Source organism: Homo sapiens, chromosome 17 (genome assembly GCF_000001405.40).
Source record: "Homo sapiens chromosome 17, GRCh38.p14 Primary Assembly".
In the NCBI taxonomy this organism is placed as follows: domain Eukaryota; kingdom Metazoa; phylum Chordata; class Mammalia; order Primates; family Hominidae; genus Homo; species Homo sapiens.
This window is the reverse complement of record NC_000017.11, coordinates 60,476,501-60,498,937: the sequence shown is the minus strand read 5'-3', so window position 1 is coordinate 60,498,937 and position 22,437 is coordinate 60,476,501. Positions and strand designations below refer to the sequence as shown.

The 22,437-nt window shown below is 39.8% G+C and overlaps 1 protein-coding gene across 4 annotated transcripts in view; it reads left to right on the top strand.

Annotated features, from left to right (window-relative positions):
- APPBP2 (amyloid beta precursor protein binding protein 2) overlaps nucleotides 1-22,437 on the top strand; it is an 83,085-nt gene that overhangs the window by 27,305 nt on the left and 33,343 nt on the right. For 3 of the 4 annotated variants that reach the window (NM_001282476.2, NM_006380.5, XM_047435116.1), the window contains 2 exons: nucleotides 4,321-4,472; nucleotides 19,667-19,790. In NM_001282476.2, coding sequence (NP_001269405.1) covers nucleotides 4,321-4,472; nucleotides 19,667-19,790 — 276 coding nt within the window. Of the gene's footprint in view, nucleotides 1-2,503; nucleotides 2,526-4,320; nucleotides 4,473-19,666; nucleotides 19,791-22,437 lie in introns of those variants that run through there. The other variant, XM_047435118.1, reaches the window with a different exon arrangement.

The following is a 22,437-nucleotide window of genomic DNA, read 5'->3' as shown; positions in this document are numbered from 1 at the left end:
AGAGTGGATAAAATAATTTTGCCTCATAAGTATAGTACCAATATAAATCTATAAAGTTGTTTCATTGAGAAATTGTCTCAATTAGTTTTTCCATATACCTGGTATTATTTCACTATGAATTATGTTTATTTGCAGTTGTTACCAGAACCCCTGTCTTGTCTTTTTCCAGTCACTACTTCCCCTCCCCTAGGGTAACCACTAGATTCATTTTATGTATTTTAGAACATATTAAATACAATTATACAGTTTGTGCCCTTTTGTGTCTGGCTTTTTTTTCCCCCAGTATTGTTTTATGAGAATCACCTATGTTATGTGCAATTACAGTGTGTTCATTCTTGTTGCTGTATATATATATGGTGTTTTATTATGTGAATACAGTATTATTCATTCTATTATTGATGGACATTTGGGCTGTTTCCACTTTTTAGCTATTATAACTCTTGCTGCCCTGAACATTCTTGTAAATGTTTTTTGGTGAACATATGTATGCATATCTATTAGATACATACCTAGAAGTAGAATTTGAAAGCAATTTAAGACAACTCAAGAAGTCTTTGCCAGCATCATAGAGAATATAGTAAAAATATTGTGGCAGTAATTGTACAACCCAAACAGAAGCTTGGTGACAAAGAGAAGATAATTTGTTCTGCCTCCTTCTATCCCCTTTGGAAAGTTAACACTTTGGAAGTTTAGCTTTTTGAGTTCAAGAAAGGGAGATTGAATTCATCTTCCCGTTTTAAGTATCATCATGTAGTAGTAGTAGCTACAGATCTGGCTTTTCATTGTACTTGCTGTTCTTTTTTTTTTTTGGAGCCAGGGTCTCACTTCCATCACCCAGCCTGGAGTGCAGTGGCAAGATCATGGCTCACTGTAGCCTCGACTTCCAGGGCTCAGGTGATACTCCCAAGTAGCTGGGAATACAGGCATGCCCCACCACGCCTGGGTAATTTTTTGTATTTTTAGTAGAGATGGGGTTTCGCCATGTTGCCCATGCTGGTCTCAAACTCCTAAGCTCAAGCCATCCACCTGCCTTGGCCTCCCAAAGTGCTGGGGTTACAGGTGTGAGCCACCGTGCCTGGTCTGCTTGCTGTTCTCTTTAGTGTTCTTCCCTAAGTTTAACTGCCATTTTATTTCCTAACCCACATTTCTAGGAAAATAAGAATATAGTTTCACAAAATACTGCTGATCTCTAATAAGAATCTTACCAAGTTGTTAGCATTTATTCAACAAATTAAATAAATACTTGCTGAGTGCCTAATATGTTCCAGGTACTGTTTTATTTTAAGTTTTTGGGGGTACATAGTACATACATATTAGGTGCATATATTTATGGGTTACATAAGATACTTTGATACAAGCATGCAATGTGTAATAATCACATCAAGATAAATGAGGTGTTCATCACCTCAAGCATTTATTCTTTGTGTTACAGACAATCCAGTTATATTCTTTCAGTTATTAAAATGTAGAACTAAATTATTTTTTACTATAATCCTGTTGTGTTAGCAAATACTAGATTTTATTCATTCTTTCTATTTTATTGTACCCATTAACCATCTTCATTTGCCCCCCTCTCCCAGTTACCCTTCCCAGCCTCTGGTAACCATCCTTCTCCTCTCTATATCCATGAATGCAATTATTTTAATTTTTAGCTCCCACAAATAAGTGACTACATGCAAAGTTGTTCTTTCCTTGGCTGGCTTCTTTTACTTACCATACAGTTCCATCCGTGTTGTTGCAGATGACAGGATCTCATTCTTTTTTATGGCCAAATAGTACACCATTGTGTATATATAGCACATTTTCCAGATACTGTTTTAGATGCTGGGGCCATAGCAGTGAGTAGGATCCACAAGGTCCCTTCCTCATGGAGTTTGTATTTTAGAGAGAGATGATAAGATAATAAACAAGTAAGTCGGCTGGGCGTGGTGGCTCACACCTGTAATCCCAGCACTTTGGGAGGCCAAGGTGGGTGGATCACCTGAGGTCAGGAGTTGAAGACCAGCCTGGCCAACATGCTGAAATCTTGTCTCTACTAAAAATACAAAAATTAGCTGGGCGTGGTAGCTCATGCCTGTAATCCCAGCTACTCGGGAGGCTGAGGCAGGAGAATCACTTGAACCCGGGAGGCGGAGGTTGCAGTGAGCCAACATCACACCGCTGCACTCCAGCCTGGGTGACAGAGTGAGACTCTGTCTCAAAAAAAATAAAATAAGTAAGTAAACAGCATGATTTCAGTGTTCAAGGGTAACTTTGAAATGTGGCCTGTGTGCTAAGATTATAGAGAAACTTCTTGATTAGTTGATTAAAGTTAGGCTGTAAAAAAAAATCTAATAAATAAGAACTTCTCATTTTGGTAAAAGAAGACTAGAAAAACTTTTAAAAACATTCCTTACTCTAAAGAAAGGATAGCTTTTGGGGATTTGAATCTCTGTAGGTAGTTTTAAACGTGGCTGTTGTAAAGATTCAGTGGAATACCTCTTTTTCATCTCTTAGGTTATCTTTCACCAAGTCCAAATCCTTTGGTAAGTGTTTTATGTATTTGTGAAACTAAAAGCATGTAATTTGACCTTTTTTTCCTTTACCCAAAGCAGTGACTCTTACAATTTTGTTTAAAAGGTTTTTTTTCTATTGAAATGTGATTCACACACTATAAAATTCACCAATTTAAATTCTACCATTCAACTATTCACAAGATTTTGTAACCATCACCACTGTCTAATTCTAGAAAATTTGGTCACCACAAAAAGAAATCATTAACAGTCAACTCCATTTCCTCTTGGCTGACCATTTCCTCAGTTAACAGTAACTTTTTCCTCAGTTTCTAGCTGACCATTAATCTACTTTCTGTCTCTCTGGATTTGCCTAGTCTAGATATTTTATATAAGTTGATTCTTATATGGTCTTTTGTGACTGACACTTAGCATAATGTTTTTAAGGTTCATTCATGTTGTTGCTTGCATCAGTACTACTTTCCTTTTTTATGGCTGAATAATTTTCCATCGTAAGGATAATACTGCATTTTGCTTATCCAGTCATCTGTTCATGAACATTTGAGTTGTTTCCACCTTTTGGCTATTATGAATAATGCTGCTGTGAATGTGGTTGGACAATATTTTGTGTGTATATAGTCTCAATTCTCTTGAGTATATACCTAGGGTGTATAATATGGTAACCCTATGATTAACTTTTTGAGGAACCACTACACTTTTTCACAGCAGCCATATCATTTTATAATCCCACCGCCAATGTATGAGGGTTCCCGTTTTTTCACCTCATGACAACACTTCAAAAAAAATTATAGCAGGGTGCAGTGACAGGCATCCATAGTCCCAGCTACTGTGGAGGCTGAAGCAGGAGGATCTTAATTGAGACCAGTTCAAGGCTACAGTGAGCTATGATCATGCCACTTCTCTCCAGCCTGGATGACAGAGCAGGACCTTGTCTCTAAAACATAAATAAATAAATAAATAAATAAATAAATAAATAAATAAATAATAAATAAATAAAATATTTTTAAAAATTCTATTGGGTGTAAAGGGGTATCTCATGATTTTGGTTTGCATTTCCCTAATCATTAATGATGTTGAGCCTCTTATTTCGTGTTTATTGGCATTTATATATCTTTTGTGGAGAAATATCTGTTCATATCAGCCAGGCGTGGTGGCTCACACCTGTAATCCCAGCACTTTGGGAGGCCGAGGTGGGTAGATCACAAGGTCAAGAGATTGAGAGCATCCCGGCTAACATGGTGAGACCCTGTCTCTACTAAAAATACAAAAAAGATTAGTTGGGCATGGTGACACGTACCTGTAGTTCCAGCTACTTGGGAGGCTGAGGCGGGAGAATCGCTTGAACCAGGGAGGTGGAGATTGCAATGAGCCGAGACCACGCCACTGCACTCCAGCCTGGATAACAGAGTGAGACTCCATCTCAAAAAAAAAAAAAAAAAACAAAACAAAACAAAAAAAACTCTTCTATCTTCATTGCCTTTTAAAAACTGGGTTATGTACCTTTTTATTGTGAATTATAATTTGGTTTTTAAAAGCCAATTTTAAAAGTTAGCTTCATCCTTCCTTGTCATCAAGTTACACATTGTGTACTTTTCCTGAATGTTGTAGGATCACTCAGTTATCCACTGAGTGAAGAGATTAGGCTAAATTTTGAATTATGGCCTTGTAATTGATAAGGCAAAATGCTTTTTATCTTATTCCGTCCTGGAAAATAATGGTGCTATTATTTAAAAGAGAAGCAGTTAGCACTTTCTAAAAGGAGAAAAATAAATTAACTCTATAAAATAATCTTTTTCTTTTCTTACAGACATTTGCTTCATCATTGTTTTCAGGCTTTGATGGATCATGGTGTTAAAGTTGCTTCAGTCTTGGCCTACTCATTCAGTAGGCGGTGCTCTTATATAGCAGAATCAGATGCTGCAGTAAAGGAAAAAGCCATTCAGGTTGGCTTTGTTTTAGGTAAGTAATGGTGGAACAGAAGTATTTTGTCCTGTGATGGACTCAGAATTAAATCTGCTAACAAAGAATTCTTCCAGGGCTTTCCCAAAGTCTACGTAAGAAGGTTATGAGAAGAACATCAGAACCACTTAACCCCATGCCAAAGCATTATACTATACATTTAAATAGTATCTTTCTAAATCCTCATGACATTCCAACGAAGTGATGGTATTAATAGCATTTTACAAATGAGGAAACAGACTCAGAAAAGTTGAGTAACTGGCTCAAGTCACATAGCTAGTAGTAGAGCTAAGTTTAGATTCCTGTGTCTATGTGATTCCATAATATGTGTTTTTCTACCATGTCATGCTGCCACCAGCCTCTTTGACCTGCTTACTGTAGGCTGTGGCAGAGAACTTCATCCTTTCGGAGCCTCAGTTTTCCCATCTCTAAAATGAGGGTTATTCTGTATTTCCTCATGTGGATGTTATGAGGATAGTGAAAAGAAATGTAAAAGCAACATAGTGAGACCTTAAAAATATGTGATAGAGCTGGGCATGGTGACTCATGCCTGTAGTTCCTAGCACTTTGGGTTACTGAGGTGGGTGGATCACTGTCAGTAGTTCGAGACCAGCCTGGCCAGCATGGCGAAATCCTGTCTCTAGTAAAAATACAAAAAATTAGCCGAGTGTGGTGACGCATGCCAGTAATCCCAGCTACTTGGGAGGATGAGGCATGAGAATTGCTTGAACTTGGGAGGTGGAGGTTGCATTGAGCCTAGATTGTGCCACTGCACTCCAGCCTGGGTAACAGGGAGACTCTGTCTCAGAAAAAAAAAAAAAGAAAAAAAAAAGGCTGGGCATGGCGGTTCTCACCTGTAATTCTAGCACTTTAGAAGGCTGAGGTGGCAGGATCACTTGAGCCCAGGAGTTCGAGACCAGCCTGGGCAACATAGCAAAACCTCCTCTCTAAAACAAAAAAATTAAAAATAAATGATAAATATAAAAGTAGTTAGAAAAATGTTTTGTGTGCTATACATGTAGAAAAATATTGTTTAATGTATGTATACAATTTTATATGGTTTTCACAAATCTGTTTAGATGTGTGTTTCAGGCAATTTCTTATTAAAGTTTTTGCTACCTTTTTTGTTTATTTTGTTTTATTATTTTATTTTGAGACAGGGTTTCACTGTGTCACCCAGGCTAGAGTGCAGTGGCACAATTGTATTAATCTGTTTTCATGCTGCCATTAAAGACATACCCGAGACTGGGTAATTTATAAAGCAAAAAGAGGTTTAATGGACTTATAGTTCCACATGACTGGGGAGGCTTCACAATCATGGCGGAAGGTGGAAGGCATGTCTTATATGGTGGCAGACGAGAATGAGAGCCAAGAGATAGGGGAAACCCCTTATAAAACCATCAGCTCTCATGAGACTTATTCACTAGCATGAAAACAGTGTTGGGGAACCGGCCCTATGATTCAGTTATCTTTCACCAGGTCCCTCCCACAACACGTGGGAATTATGGGAACTATAATTCAAAATGAGATTTGGGTGGGGACACAGCCAAATCATATCATTCCACCCTGGCCCCTCGCAAATCTCATGTCCTCACATTTCAACACCAATCATGCCTTCGCAACAGTCCTCCAAAGTCTTAACTCATTTCAGCATTAACTCAAAAAGTCCACAGTCCAAAGTCTCATCTGAGACAAGGCAAGTCTCTTCTGCCTGTGAGCCTGTAAAATCAAAAGCAAGTTAGTTATTTCCTAGATACAGTGGGGGTACATGCATTGGATAAATACAACCATTCCAAATGGAAGAAATTGGCCAAAATGAAGGAGCTAAAGGCCCCATGCAAGTCTGGAATCCAGTGGAGTAGTCAAATCATAAAGCTCCAAAATGATCTTTTCTGACTCCATGTCTCACATCCAGGTCATGCTGTTGCAAGAGGTGGGTTCCCATGGTCTTGGGCAGCTCCGCCCCTGTGGCTTTGAAGGGTACAGCCTCCCTCCCAGCTGCTTTCACGGACTGGCGTCGAGTGTCTGTGGTTTTTTCAGGCACACGGTGCAAGCTTTCAGTGGATCTGCCATTCTGTGGTCTGGAGCACAGTGGCCCTCTTCTCATAGCTCCACTAGGCAGTGCCCCAGTGGGGACTCTGTGTAAGGGCTTCAACCCAATATTTCCCTTCCACACTGCCCTAGCAGAGGTTTTTCATGAGGACCTCACCCTGCAGCAAACTTCTGCCTGGACATGCAGGCGTTCCCATACATTCTGAAGTCTAGGCAGAGGTTCCCAAACCTCAATTCTTGACTTCTGGGCACCCACAGGCTCAACACCATGTGGGAGCTGCTAAGGCTTGGGACTTGCCCCCTTGGAAGCTATGGTCTAAGCTGTACGTTGGTCCCTTTTAGCTATGAGTAGAGCAGCTGGGACACAGGGGTCCAAGTCCCTAGTCTGCACACAGCAGGGGGGCCCTGGGCTCAACTCACAAAACCATTTTTTCCTCCTAGGCCTCTGGGCCTGTGATAGGAGGGGCTGCCACAAAGTTCTCTGAAATGTCCTGGAGACATTTTCTCCATTGTCTTGGAGATTAGCATTTGGCTGCTCGTTACTCATGCAAATTTCTGCTGCCAGCTTGCAGTTCTTCTCACAAAATGAGTTTTTCTTTTCTATCGCATCCTGAGGCTGCAAATTTTCCAAACTTTTATGCTCTGTTTTCCTTTTAAAACTGAATGCTGACTGGGTGCAGTAGCTCACACCTCTAGTCCCAGCACTTTGGGAGGCCAAGGTGGGTGGATTGTTTTGATATCAGGAGTTTGAGACCAGCCTGGCCAACATGGTGAAACCGTATCTCTACTAAAAATACAAAAACTAGCCGGGCCTGTTGGCGGGTGCCTGTAATCTCAGCTACTCGGGAGGCTGAGGCAGGAGAATCACTTGAACCTGGAAGGCAGAGGTTGCAGTGAGTTGAAATCGCCTCACTGTACTGCTGAGATCACCCCACTGCACTCCAGCCTGGGTGACAAAGCAAAACTTCATCTCAAAAAAATAAAAATAAAAAAATAAAAATAAATGAGACAATGCTTTTAACAGCACTCCAGTCACCTCTTAAATGCTTTGTTGCTTGGAAATTTCTTCTGCCAGATACCCTAAATCATCTCCCTCAAGTTAAAGGTTCCACACATCTCTGAGGCAGGGACAAAATGTCACCAGTCTTTTGGCTAAAATATAGCAAGAGTCACCTTTACTCCAGTTTCCAACAAGTTCCTCATCTCCATCTGAGACCACCTCAGCCTGGATTTCACTGTCCATATCATTATCAGCATTTTGATCAAAGCTATTCAACAAGTCTCTAGGAAGTTCCAAACTTTTCCTACATTTTTCTGTCTTCTTCTGAGCCCTCCAAACTGTTCCAAACTTTGCCTGTTACCCAGTTCCAAAGTTGCTTCCACATTTTCAGGTATCTTTATAGCAGCTCCCCACTCTGCTGGCACCAGTTTACTTTATTAGTTCATTTTCATGCTGCTGTTAAAGACATACCTGAGACTGGATAATTTATAAAGGAAAATGAGGTTTAATGGACTCATAGTTCCACGTGGCTGGGGAGGCCTCACAATCATGGTGGAAGGTAAAAGGCACATCTTACATGGTGGCAGGCAAAACAGAATGAGCCAAATGAAAGGGGAAACCCCTTATAAAACCATCAGATCTCGTGAGACTTACTACCACAAGAACAGTATTGGGGAGACTGCCCCCATGATTCAGTTATCTCCCACCAGGTCCCTCCCATAATGTGGGAATTATGGGAGCTACAATTCAAGATGAGATTTGTGTGGGGACACAGAGCCAAACCATATCAACAATCATAGCTCACTGTAACTTCAAACTTGGGCTCAAGCAGTCTTCCTGCTTCAGCTTCCCGAGTAGCTAGGACAACAGGCATGTGTCAACATACACAGCTAATTTTTATTTTTGTTGAGACAAGGTCTTGCTATGTTGCCCAGGCTGGTCTTGAACTCCTGGGCTCAAGCATTCTTCCCAAACTACTGGAATTACAGGCATGAGCCACTGCACTTGGCTCTTTTTTCTCTATTAAACAAACTTTTTTTGAAGTGACTGTAGATTCATAGGAAGTTGCAAAAGAGTACCCAGAGTTCTTTGAACCATTCCTCCAGCTTCCCCCAGTGGTCACATATTATATAACTGTAGGGCAATATCAAAACCAAGAAATTGACACTGGTGTTATACCATTAACTAGACTACTGGCCTTACTTAGTTTTCACCAGTTTTTACGTGCACTCATTTGTTTGTATGTGTGTCTGTGCGGTGGATTCCATGTAGAGTCGTACAACCACCATCACTATCAAGATACAGTACTATTTGATCACCACAAACTATTTTTGTTTGGGGGTTTTTGTTTTGTTTTGTTTTGTTTTGTTTTGTTTTCTGAGATGGAGTCTCACTCTATCACCCAGGCTGGAGTGCAGTGGCATGATTTTTGCTCACTGCAACTTCCGCCTCTTGTGTTCAAGCTATTCTCCTTCCTCAGCCTCCCAAGTAGCCGAGATTACAGGCGTGTGCCACCACACCCAACTAATTTTTGTATTTTTAGTAGAGACGGGGTTCACCATGTTGGCCAGACTGGTCTCAAACTCCTGACGTCAAGTGGTCCACCCACCTCTGCCACCAAAAGTGCTGGGATTATAGGCGTGAGCCACTGCACCCAGCCCTACTTTTGTTTTTAACTTCTCTCATTACTGTGTGCATGTGCCATGTATGTGTTTTCTGTCTTAAAGTGTACACACGTGCGTATACATCCTTCCCAACAACTTTTAACAGTCATTTTTAATCTTTTTTTTTTTTTTTTTTTTTGAGACATGGTCCCACTCTGTCGCCCAGACTGGAGTGCAGTGGCACGATCTCAGCTCACTGCAGCCTCCGCCTCCTGGGTTGAAGTGATTCTGCTGCCTCAGCCTCACAGGTAGCTGGGACTACAGGCATGCGCCACCACACTCATCTAATTTTTGTGTTTTTAGTAGAGATGGTGTTTTATCATGTTGGCCAGGCTGGTCTCAAATTGCTAACCTCAGGTGATCTGTCCACCTCAGCCTCCCAAAGTGCTGGGATTACAGGCCTGAGGCACCGTGCCTGGCCTGTTTAATCTTAGAATAATTCTTTGTAGTAGCCAAAGACAGGTTGCCGAAGGGACTTCAGAGCATATTTTTTTGAAAAGGACCCTCATTATTTCTTTTTTTTTATTTGAGACAGAGTCTTGTACTGTCGCCCAGGCTGGAGTGCAATAGTGTGATCTCAGCTCACTGCAACCTCCTCCTCCCGGGTTCAAGCCATTCTCCTGCCTCAGCCTCCCGAGTAGCTGGGATTATAGGCACCTGCCACCATACCCAGCTAATTTTTTGTATTTTTAGTAGTGATGAGGTTTCACTATGTTGGGCAGGCTGGTCTCAAACTCATGACTTCGTGATCCACCCAGCTCAGTCTCCCAAAGTGCTGGGATTACAGGCATGAGCCACCGTGCCTGGCCAGCATTTATTTTTTAAATAGTCTTATGGAAATGTCAGTAGCGACAAAGAATTGTCCAAAGAAAGTCTCTCAAAACTTGTGATCTTGACTAATGTTAAGGATGATATCCCTTTAGTTCTATATGATCATGTAAAAATGTGTGTGTGAGAGAAATTTAGTATGAAAGAAGATGAAAGGAAGACTAGTGTTCATTGAGGTCCTCTATCATCTCCACATCTACTTATGCCAATCTGGCCATTATAATGACCCAACTAGATACCTTGGAGAGAGAACCAAGTCCTGGCAAACTCACAGTTATCAGTCTTAATCCTAAAATTACCCAAGAGGAAAAAGTCATACCAGAAGAGTTTTGCAGACATCACCACAAAAAGTTTTAGAACATTATTTCCTCCCCAAAAAGAAAACAGTACCCATTAGCAGTCACTCCCATTTCTCTCCAACACCAGGCAAACATCATCTACTTTCTGTCTCTATAGATTTGCCTGTTCTGGACATTTTATATAAGTGTACTCTTGAAATACATGGTCTTTGTGACTGGCTTGTTTTATTTACCATAATACTTTCAAAATCCATCCATGTTATAGAGACAGAATTTAATATAAATAATATTTTTTGACCTCTGGGGTCAGGGCATAGCTGAACAAAAGGCAGCAGAAACTTCTGCAGACTTAAACATCCCTGTCTGACAGCTCTGAAGAGAGCAGTGATTCTCCCAGCACGGAGTTTGAGCTCTGAGAACAGACAGACTGCCTCCTCAAGTGGGTCCCTGACCCCCGTGTAGCCTAACTGTGAGACACCTCCCAGTAGGGGCTGACTGACACCTCATACAGCCAGGTGCCCCTCTGAGACGAAGCTTCCAGAGGAAGGATCAGGCAGCAATATTTGCTGTTCTGCAATATTTGCTGTTCTGCAGCTTTCGCTGGTGATACCCCAGCAAGTAAGGTCTGGAGTGGACCTCCTGCAAACTCCCAACAGACTGCAGCTGAGGGACCTGACTGTTACAAGGAAAACTAACAAACAGAAAGGAATAGCATCGACATAAACTAAAAGGACATCCACACCAAAACCCCACCTGTAGGTCACCATCATCAAAGACCAAAGGCAGATAAAACCACAAAGATGGGGAGAAACCAGAGCAGAAAAGCTGAAAATTCTAAAAACCAGAGTGCCTTTTCTCCTCCAAGGGATTGCAGCTCCTCGCCAGCAATGGAACAAAGCCAGATGGAGAATGACTTTGACAAGTTGACAGAAGTAGGCTTCAGAAGGTTGGTAATAACAGACTTCTCCAAGCTAAAGGAGGATGTTCGAACCCATCGCAAGGAAGCTAAAAACCTTGAAAAAAGATTAGACAAATGGCTAACTAGAATAAACAGTGTAGAGAAGACCTTAAATGACCTGATGGAGCTGAAAACCATGGCGCGAGAACTACATGACACATGCACATGCTTCAGTAGCCGATTCGATCTAGTGGAAGAAAGGGTATCAGTGATTGAAGATCAAATTAATGAAATGAAGTGAGAAGAGAAGTTTAGAGAAAAGAGAGTAAAAAGAAACAAACAAAGCCTCCAAGAAATACAGGACTATGTGAAAATACCAAATCTACGTTTGATTGGTGTACCCGAAAGTGACGGGGAGAATGGAACCAAGCTGGAAGACACTTCAGGATATTATCCAGGAGAACTTCCCCAACCTAGCAAGGCAGGCCAACATTCAAATTCAGGAAATACAGAGAACACCACAAAGATAATTCCTTGAGAAGAGCAACCCCAAGACACACAATTGTCAGATTCCCCAAGATAAAAATGAAGGAAAAAATGTTAAGAGCAGCCAGAAAGAAAGGTCAGGTTACCCACAAAGGGAACCCCATCAGCCTAACCGTGGATCTCTCAGCAGAAACTCTACAAGCCAGAAGAGAGTGGGGGCCAATATTCAACATTCTTAAAGAAAAGAATTTTCAACCCAGAATTTCATATCCAGCCAAACTAAGCTTCATAAGTGAAGGAGAAATAAAATCCTTTACAGATAAGCAAATGCTGAGAGATTTTGTCACCACCAGGCCTGCCTTACAAGAGCTTCTGAAGGAAGCACTAAAGATGGAAAGGAACAACCGGTACCAGCCACTGCAAAAACATGCAAAATTGTAAAGACCATCGATGCTCGGAAGAAACTGCATCAACTAATGGCCAAAATAACCGGCTAACATCATAGTGACAGGATCAAATTCACACATAACAATACTAACCTTAAATATAAATGGGCTAAATGCCCCAATTAAAAGACACAGACTGGCAAACTGGATAAAGACGCAAAACCCATCAGTGTGCTGTATTTAGGAGACCCATCTCACATGCAGAGACACACGTAGGCTCAAAATAAAGGGATGGAGAAAGATCTACCAAGCAAGTGGAAAGCAAAAAAAAGCAGGGGTTGCAATCCTAGTCTCTGATAAAACAGACTTTAAACCAACAAAGATCAAAAGAGACGAGGCCATCACATAATGGTAAAGGGATCAATTCGACAAGAAGAGCTAACTATCCTAAATATATATGCACCCAATACAGGAGCACTCAGATTCATAAGGCAAGTCCTTAGAGACCTACAAAGAGACTTAGACTCCCACATAATAATAATGGGAGACTTTAACACCCCACTGTCAATATTAGACAGATCAATGAGACAGAAGGTTAACAAGGATATCCAGGATTTGAACTCAGTTCTGCACCAAGCAGACCTAATAGACATCTACAGAACTCTCCACCCCAAATCAACAGAATATATTCTTCTCAGCACCACATCGTACTTATTCCAAAATTGACCACATAGTTGAAAGTAAAGCACTCCTTGGCAAATGTAAAAGAACAGAAATCACAACAAACTGTCTCTCAGACCTCAGTGCAGTCAAATTAGAACTCAGGATTAAGAAAGTCGCTCAAAACCACACAACTACGTGGAAACTGAACAGCCTGCTCCTGAATGACTACTGGGTAAATAACGAAATGAAGGCAGAAATAAAGATGTCTTTGAAACCAATAAGAACAAAGACACAACGAACCAGAATCTCTGGGACACATTTAAAGCTGTGTGTAGAGGTAAATTTATAGCACTAATAGCCCACAAGAGAAAGCAGGAAAGATCTACAATTCACACCCTACCATCACAATTAAAAGAGCTAGAGAAGCAAGAGCAAACAAGTTCGAAAGCTAGCAGAAGGCAAGAAATAACTAAGATCAGAGCAGAACTGAAGGAGATAGAGACACAAAAAACCCTTCAAAAAAATCAGTGAATCCAGGAGCTGGGTTTTTGAAAAGATCAACAAAATTGATAGACCACTAGCAAGACTAATAAAGAAGAAAAGAAGAATCAAATAGATGCAATAAAAAATGATAAAGGGGATATCACCACTGATCCTACAGAAATACAGACTACCATCAGAGAATACTATAAATACCTCTAAGCAAATAAACTAGAAAATCTAAAAGAAATGGATAAATGCCCGGACACATACACCCTCCCAAGACTAAACCAGAAAGAAGTTGAATCTCTGAATAGACCAATAACAGGCTCCGGAATTGAGGCAATAATTAATAGCCTACCAACCAAAAGAAGTCTAGGACCAGACTGATTCACAGCCAAATTCTACCAGAGCTACAAAGAGGAGCTGGTACCATTCCTTCTGAAACTTTTCCAATCAATAGAGAGGGAACTCTCCCTAACTCATTTTATGAGGCCAGCATCATCCTGATACCAAAGCCTGGCAGAGACACAACAAAAAAAGAGAATTTTAGACCAATATCCCTGATGAACATCGATGCGAAAATCCTCAATAAAATACCGGCAAACTGAATCCAGCAGCACATCAAAAAGCTTATCCACCAAGATCAAGTTGGCTTCATCCCTGGGATGCAAGGCTGGTTCAACATATGCAAATCAATAAACGTAATCCATAACATAAACAGAACCAAAGACAAAAACCACATGATTATCTCAATAGAGGCAGGAAAGGCCTTTGACAAAATTCAACTCTCAATAAATTAGGTATTTATGGAATGTAACTCAAAATAATAGCCGTTTAAGACAGACCCACAGCCAGTATCATACTGAATGGGCAAAAACTGGAAGCATTCCCTTTGAAAACTGGCACAAGACAGTTTTCTGTCTTTCTCTCATCACTCCTATTCAACATAGTGTTGGAAGTTCTGGCCAGGGCGGTCAGGCAAGGGAAAGAAATAAAGGGTATTCAGATAGGAAGAGAGGAAGTCAAATTGTCCCTGTTTGCAGATGACATGATTGTATATTTAGGAAACCCCATCATCTCAGCCCAAAATCTCCTTAAGCTGATAAGCAACTTCCTTAAAGTCTCAGGATACAAAATCAAAGTGCAAAAATCACAAGCATTCTTATGCACCAATAACACATAAACAGCCAAATTATGAGTGAACTCCCATTCACAGTTGCTTCAGAGAGAATAAAATACCTAGGAATCCAACCTACAAGGGATGTGAAGGACCTCTTCAAGGAGAACTACAAACTACTGCTCAACAAAATAAAAGAGGACACAAACAAATGGAAGAACATTCCATGCTCATGAATAGGAAGAATCAGTATCATGAAAATGGCTGTACTGTGCAAGGTAATTTATAGATTCAATGCCATCTCCATCAAGCTACCAATGACTTTCTTCACAGGATTGGAAAAAACTACTCTAAAGTTCATATGGAACCAAAAAAGAGCCCGCATTGCCAAGCCAATCCTAAGCCAAAAGAACAAAGCTGGAGGCATCACACTACCTGACTTCAAACTATACTACAAGGCTGCAGTAACCAAAACAGCGTGGTACTGGTACCAAAACAGATATAGACCAGTGGAACAGAACACAGCCCTCATAAATAATACCACACATCTACAACCATCTGATCTTTGACAAACCTGACAAAAACAAGAAATGAGGAAAGGATTCCCTATTTAATAAATGGTGCTGGGAAAACTGGCTAGCCGTAGGTAGAAAGCTGAAACTGGATCCCTTCCTTACACGTTATACAAAAATTAATTCAAGATGGATTAAAGACTTAAATGTTAGACCTAAAACCATAAAAACCGTAGAAGAAAACCTGGGCAATACCATTCAGGACATAGGCACGGGCAAGGACTTCATGTCTAAAACACGAAAAGCAATGGCAACAAAAGCCAAAATTGACAAATGGGATCTAATTAAACTAAAGAGCTTCTGCACAGCAAAAGAAACTACCATCGGCTAGGTGCGGTGGCTCACGCCTGTAATCCTAGCACTTTGGGAGGCCGAGGCGAGCGGATCACGAGGTCGGGAGATCGAGACCATCCTGGCTAACATGGTGAAACCCCGTCTCTACTAAAAATACAAAAAAATAGCCAGGTGTGGTGGTGGGCGCCTATAGTCCCAGCTATTTGGGAGGCTCAGGCAGGAGAATGGCGTGAACCCAGGAGGCAGAGCTTGCAGTGAGCCGAGATTGCGCTACTGCACTCCAGCCTGGGCGACAGAGCAAGTCTCCATCTCAAAAAAAAAGAAACTGTCATCAGAGTGAACAGGCGACCTACAGAATGGAGAAAATTTTTGCAATCTACCTATCTGACAATGGGCTGATACCCAGAATCTACAAAGAACTTAAGCGAATTTACAAGAAAAAATCAAACAACCCCATCAAAAAGTGGGCAAAGGACATGAGCAGACACTTCTCAAAAGAAGACATTTATGCAGCCAACAGACACATGAAAAAATACTCATCATCACTGGTCATCAGAGAAATGCAAATCAAAACCACAGTGAGATACCATCTCACACCAGTTAGAATGGTGATCATTAAAAAATCAGGAAACAGGTGCTGGAGAAGATGCGGAGAAATAGGAACACTTTTACACTGTTGGTGGGAGTGTAAACTAGTTCAACTATTGTGGAAGACAGTGTGGCGATTCCTCAAGGATCTAGAACTAGAAATACTATTTGACCCTGCAATCCCATTACTGGGTATATACCCAAAGGATTATAAATCATGCTACTATAAAGACATATGCACATGTATGTTTATTACGGCACTTCACAATAGCAAAGACATGGAACCAACCCAAATGTCCATCAATGATAGACTGGATTAAGAAAATGTGGTGCATATACACCATGGAATACTATGCAGCCAGAAAACAGGATGAGTTCATGTCCTTTGTAGGGACATGGATGAAGCTGGAAACCATCATTCTGAGCAAACTATCACAAGGACAGAAAACCAAATACCACATGTTCTCACTCAGGTGGGAATTGAACAATGAGAACACTTGGACACAGGGCAGGGAACCTCACACACCAGGGCCTGTTGTGGGGTGGCGGTCTGGGGGAGGGATAGCGTTAGGAGAAATACCTAATGTAAATGACGAGTTGATGGGTGCAGCAAACCAACATGGCACATGTAACCTGCACGTTGTGCACATGTACCCTAGAACTTAAAGTATAATAATAATAAATTTTTAATCCTAAAAAATAAAAAAGAATTGTCTTTTAGAAAGGACTGCATTACTAAGTAGGACTATCACCCTGGACATTCAAGCCCTTTTCTGACAGGCCACATCTTTATTGGGATGAGGCTATTCAAAGGGAAAATTAAACATTTCTTAACAGGAATATGTTTTTAAAATGGTTTGGATTCATTTATTTCTTGTTTATAAGTATTTAATTTGATGCTTATAGTCAAGGAACACATTTCTTAAAATTAAGTTTTTAATCGAAGTAGTAACCCGGCCGGACGCGGTGGCTCACACCTGTAATCCCAGCACTTTGGGAGGCTGAGGTGGGCGGATCTCCTGAGGTTAGAAGTTTGAGACCAGCCTGACCAACATGGAGAAACCCGTCTCTACTAAAAATACAAAATTAGCCGGGCGTGGTGGCACATGCCTGTAATCTCAGCTACTCAGGAGGCTGAGGTAGGAGAATCACTTGAACCCAGGAGGCGGAGGTTGCGGTGAGCCGAGATCACGCTATTGCACTCTAGCCTGGGCAACAAGAGCAAACTCTGTCTCTAAAAAAAGAAATAGTAACCTATCCTGTGGTTACTGGATTGATACTTCTATTAACAGCAAATGTCCACTTCATTTTCAAGCACAAATGGTCATTGTAAGAAGCTGTAACAGCTGCCACAATTGTGCTGTTGTCTTCTTTTCCTAACTTCTTTTGAAAACAAGGATCTCATTTGTTTTGAACAGAGAAAATAAATTTGGTTCTGGATTTGACTTAGCTGAAGCCCAGCTCTATTGTAGTATTTTCCTTGAGTTTAGGTGAATTCTAGGGTCAATATTACAAGTTTTGACTTTGTCATGCTCTAGAATAAACCTAAATTTTTAGGGATTGTCAAACTAAGAACCAAATAAAATTAAGTACATTGTATAAATTTTCTCCTTCTCAACAAGATGTGGATGAAGTAGATGTTATATCTGAATAGTTCATTTCACTAGGCTATAAAATCAATTATCAGCATAAAAAATATTTATTTATTTAGGAGACAGGGTCTCACTGTGTTACCCAGGCTGGTCTTGAACTCTTGGCCTCAAGGGATCCTTCCACCTTGGCCTCCAAAAGTGCTGGAATTACAGGCATGAGCCACTGTACCTGGCCTAATACAAATCGTTTTTAACCAGATACTAGAGAACTAAAGAGGCAAAAAGGGAACAGTAGGGTATTATGGACAAAGCAGCTGTGAGAATTGGCTACCATACCTATGGCTTGGGGAACCAAGGAAAGAGATTGGAATTATTAAAAAGTAGGAGTTGGAGGGGTTTGCCCCATGAAGCTGGGATACTGCTAGGCTGTTACTGGTGCCTCAGAGGTCTGAAAAGAGGGCCCGTGGGTCTAGGATCTAGACCTCTAGGAGGAGCAACCTGGATGGCTATTGCTGATGTTTGATGGAGTGCTGTGAAACTGGTTTTGCAAGCATTGGAAAACTGCAACTGGTATTGACTATTATTTAATGGAATGAACTACCACCAAAGAAAAGAAGCACACCCTGGGGTGTTTTTGTCAGCAGGAACCTCACTAACAGATACAGGAAGGAGAGTGTCCATTGCTCTTCCAGTCATGCAGCCCATTTCTCCAGTGCCTCCTATTCGCTGAGCCAAACGGAGCCAGCTAGCAAAGGAGAAATGTGGTTTGCAGAGTCCTTGCTCAGCATCCTCAAACAGACTCTAGTAGTATGGGTTTGAAGCTGAGAGACAGTATTCTAATAACCAGCACAATATACAATATGTTGGGATGATAAGTAGAATATTGCTTAGTATGAATATGAATAATCTCATTATTCTGCTCAACTTGGTGAGGAAGCTAGAAAGTTTTAAAGCACAGTTCTCTCCAATTAAAAAAATGCTTAATTACATGTAGTTTTAATTAAATATAAAACATGAGTCTAAGCAAAATATAATATTTTGTCAACTCATACATTAATACTATTAAGACACCATATTTTTTGTGTGCCAAGAAAAAGCCACTTATTGTAATATACCATTACTTTTATGACGTACTCTAATTTCAGAGTTTTGTTGTTGTTGTTGTTTGAGACAAGGTCTGGCTGGCTCTGTTGCCCAGGCTGGAGGGCAGTGGTGTGATCTCCGCTCACTGCAGCCTCTGCCTCCCAGGCTCAAGCCATTCTCCCACCCCAGCCTCCTGAGTAGCTGGGACTACAGGCACTCGCCACCACATCCGGCTTACTTTTGTATCTTTTGTAGAGACAGGATTTTGCCATATTGCCCAGGCTGGTCTCAGATAATTTCAGAGATTTTTTAATGTGCAAAAAAATGTGTTTTAGAACATACCATGATGGTATGTTACTTTGTGTTTTCTGGTTATTGTAACTAATCCTGAATAGCACTAAGAAATTATTCCTTAATAACTGTTGCAGTATAGGGACTACAGACTTAGCCTCTGAAGTCACATTGTGTGCATCTGAATCTTTTCACTTACTGGATTATAAGCTTTGGTTTTTCTGTGACTCAAGTGTTTTCATCTGTTACGTTGGGGCAGTTATTTAAGTCGAAGGTGTGTTGTGAAAGTTAAATGAGTGAGTTCGTGTAGTTATGTAGTTACCACAATACGAAGTGTTTTACATGGTGTAGTAACAGTGTATTAAATGTTAGTCATATTTAGGAGGCAGAATCCTCAAAAAGATAATATGCTGAGGAAATACTGCCCAGGACAGTAATTTCTTGTTTAAAAAAATAATAAGATAATCGATTAAGGATCACAGTCTTTTTTTATCTGTGTATCCTCCGTTATGTGCTGCTATACTAAGTATATTCAGATTTATCTTCTTTGGGATTGTGTATTGGGAGATGCTAAAGTTATATGTACACTCCAAGATGAAAATAGTAAAATAATTTAGTTAGCTCATTAGCTGGAAAGTAACAACTCTTAGGCCATGGAGTATTCTTAGAAGGTTCAAACTTTTGACTCCTTATTCAAGGTCTTAGCCTTAACCCTCCTTCCCGTAGTTCAAAACCTTTATATAAAAATCTCACAGTTCATACCTGTGTTGTATGCTAAACACAAGATTTTACTATCATGGTTTATTTTTAATTTAGGTAATATTCACTGTCAGCATGTCATTTTATCTTGCAGGCTATTTATCAAGTTTTCTAAAATTGGTGTTTCTTATTTTTTTAGGTGGCTTTCTTTCAGATGCAGGCTGGTACAGTGATGCTGAGAAAGTTTTTCTGTCCTGCCTTCAGTTGTGTACTCTACACGATGAGATGCTTCATTGGTTTCGTGCAGTAGAATGTTGTGTGAGGTAAGTTGGAACATATCCTGTAATTACGTGCTATAACAGTATTTAGTGGCTTTTATAGTTTTAGCTCTTATAAGTATATGCCAACATTTGAGTAAATCTCTGAGATGATATTTATATGTCATAGTTTCACTAGTCTGGCATCCTCTCATCTCTAAAATATAGTTAATCTGCTGTAGACAGCTTAGGTTAGATTTGAGTATTATGAACCAGAATGTGTTTCTTTTTTTATTTTTATTTTGAAACAGAGTCTCGCTCTTTCACCCAGGCTGGAGTGCAGTGGCACAGTCTTGGCTCACTGCAACCTCCACCTCCTGGGTTCAAGTGATTCTCCTGTCTCAGCCTCCCAAGTAGCTGGGATTACAGGCATGCGCCAATTATTTGTATTTTTAGTAGAGATGGGGTTTTGCCATGTTGGTCAGGCTGGTCTCGAACTCCTGACTTCAGGTGATCCACCTGCCTTGGCCTCCCAAAGTGCTGGGATTACAGGCATGAGCCACCGTGCCTGGCCCAGAATGTGTTTCTTACATATCTTTTTGCTTTGTCATAGAGCTTGTTTGTTTATTCATTCAACAAATATTTATTGAATGCTTGTGTACTAGGAACTGTGGTAGACACTGGATGCTCGGAAACTCCAGAAATGTACTTTTTCTTTGGTGTTACTTTTGTACCCCCTGCTTTGTTTACATTTCCATAATTGTGCATAACAAGATTAGTGCTTTACTTATGAATAACTTTTCTTTGAGTATACATTTATTACTTTTTTACAGATTTCCTTAAAGTCAAGCAAATCTAGAAGTAACTCTGCTTTATTGTCCTTATTTTTTTCTGCATGTTACATTTACCTTTAGCTATTTTCATACAGGTTTTCTCTTTGTCCCCCAATTTGATTTGGCATTTCTTAAAAGTATTTTTTTATATAAAACTAAAGGAAAATTAAAATAAAGTCAAAAAATTAAACAGCAGAAATTCTTTATCGTAAGGTAACTAAAGTCCAATCAATTTATTGAATTTACAGTCTTCTATTTTTATGGAATTAAGGTTCATATTTCCTAGGTATTTTTTAGATGAGTTAATTGAATCTGAACCCTTTCAAACCTAGAATATTCTCCTATAAAACCATTGTATTTTTGTTTTGGGTTTTTTTTTAAATATATTTTTTACTTTATTTTTATTAGAAATGGTGTTTTGCTGTATCGCCCAGTCTGGTCTCCAACTCCTGGGCTCAAGCAATCCTCTGCCTGGGCCTCCCAAAGTTCTGGGATTACAGGCATGAACCTCTACACCCAGCCAGATTATTGTTGCTTTAAGCTAAAATTGAGTAAAACTCTATTTTTTTTTTTTTTTTTTGGCCAGTTGGATTTCAGTCTTTTGAGGCTGTCATTGACCTTTTTTATACAAGGCTTATCTATGTCAGACAGACATTCAATCCTGAAGTTAATTTTGTAATATGCAAACTTAATTATAAATAATATTTTAGAAGGTGATAATTTCCCACATATACTTTGGAAGTGTATGATAAATTATAGGAATATTTGTGTGCAGAAACTCTAAAAGGATTAGTATTTAGCCCTATAATTTATAGTACTCATAAAAATAATCTCTCATTTTTTTCCCCCTCTTCTGCCTATTTTATATTTTTAGGAATAGGAGACTACATTATCCCATATGGGATTTGGGAGGTTAGTTATATATTGCTATGTACATAAACTGGTTAATTTGGAACAGAAAGGGGATTTTGTATGATTTTTATCATAGATTATTCACTATGGCAATCTTGACCAAAAGATAAAACACTTTCTTTTTTGTATGTGCTTTATTTTTTTATTCACATATTCAGATTTATTTCACCCAAATACCTGTGTTTCTTCTGATTTTAAGGTTCCTGTATAAATTTGGCTTTAGCCTTACCAAAAGGTTTAGTTTTCTCACAAGACAAGTCAGTCTCCTTCTCTCCTTCCTAGTTTGTCATCTGTAGCAAGTAGCTCACATCATTATGGCTGCAAGTGTTAATAGGCAGTAAGAAGAGGGGAGGTCAAAAAGTGCATGCCAGCTGACTCTTTTTTAAATCAGAAAAAAATTGCTTTCCCAGAAGTCTAACCCTGTCTCTTGGATTACTTGTCTTTTAAACTGGAAACTGGGACACATTCTACACAACTTCTAATCTGTGTAATAAGTATAGTCTGAGGAGCAAAACATTTTTAATTGTGCATGAATGAACTCATGGGTCTACATTAAGGAAGAAAACATGAGGAATATTGGGTAGATAACTGGCTGGGTGCAGTGGCTCACGACTGTAATCCTAGCACTTTGGGAGGCCAAGATTTGAGGATTGCTTGAGCTTAGGAATTGGAGACCAGCAAGACCTCATTTCTATAAAAAATTTTAAAATAAATTAAAAACAATAGATAATTAACAATTCAGAACTAGCTGTCTTTTTAGCAAGCACATGTGAAACTAGAATATTGTCTGGACCAAGGAACAAAGCCATTTATAATGCCAGCTCACTGCCTGTATACCAAGACCTTATGTCTTTATGAATTTGAAATTTCACAATAAAATTTGCCTCTATTCAACTAACCTTGCCAAATTCTTGGCCGTTACAGGTGTATTTAATATAATTTATTTATAATAAGTAATTTTTTTCATC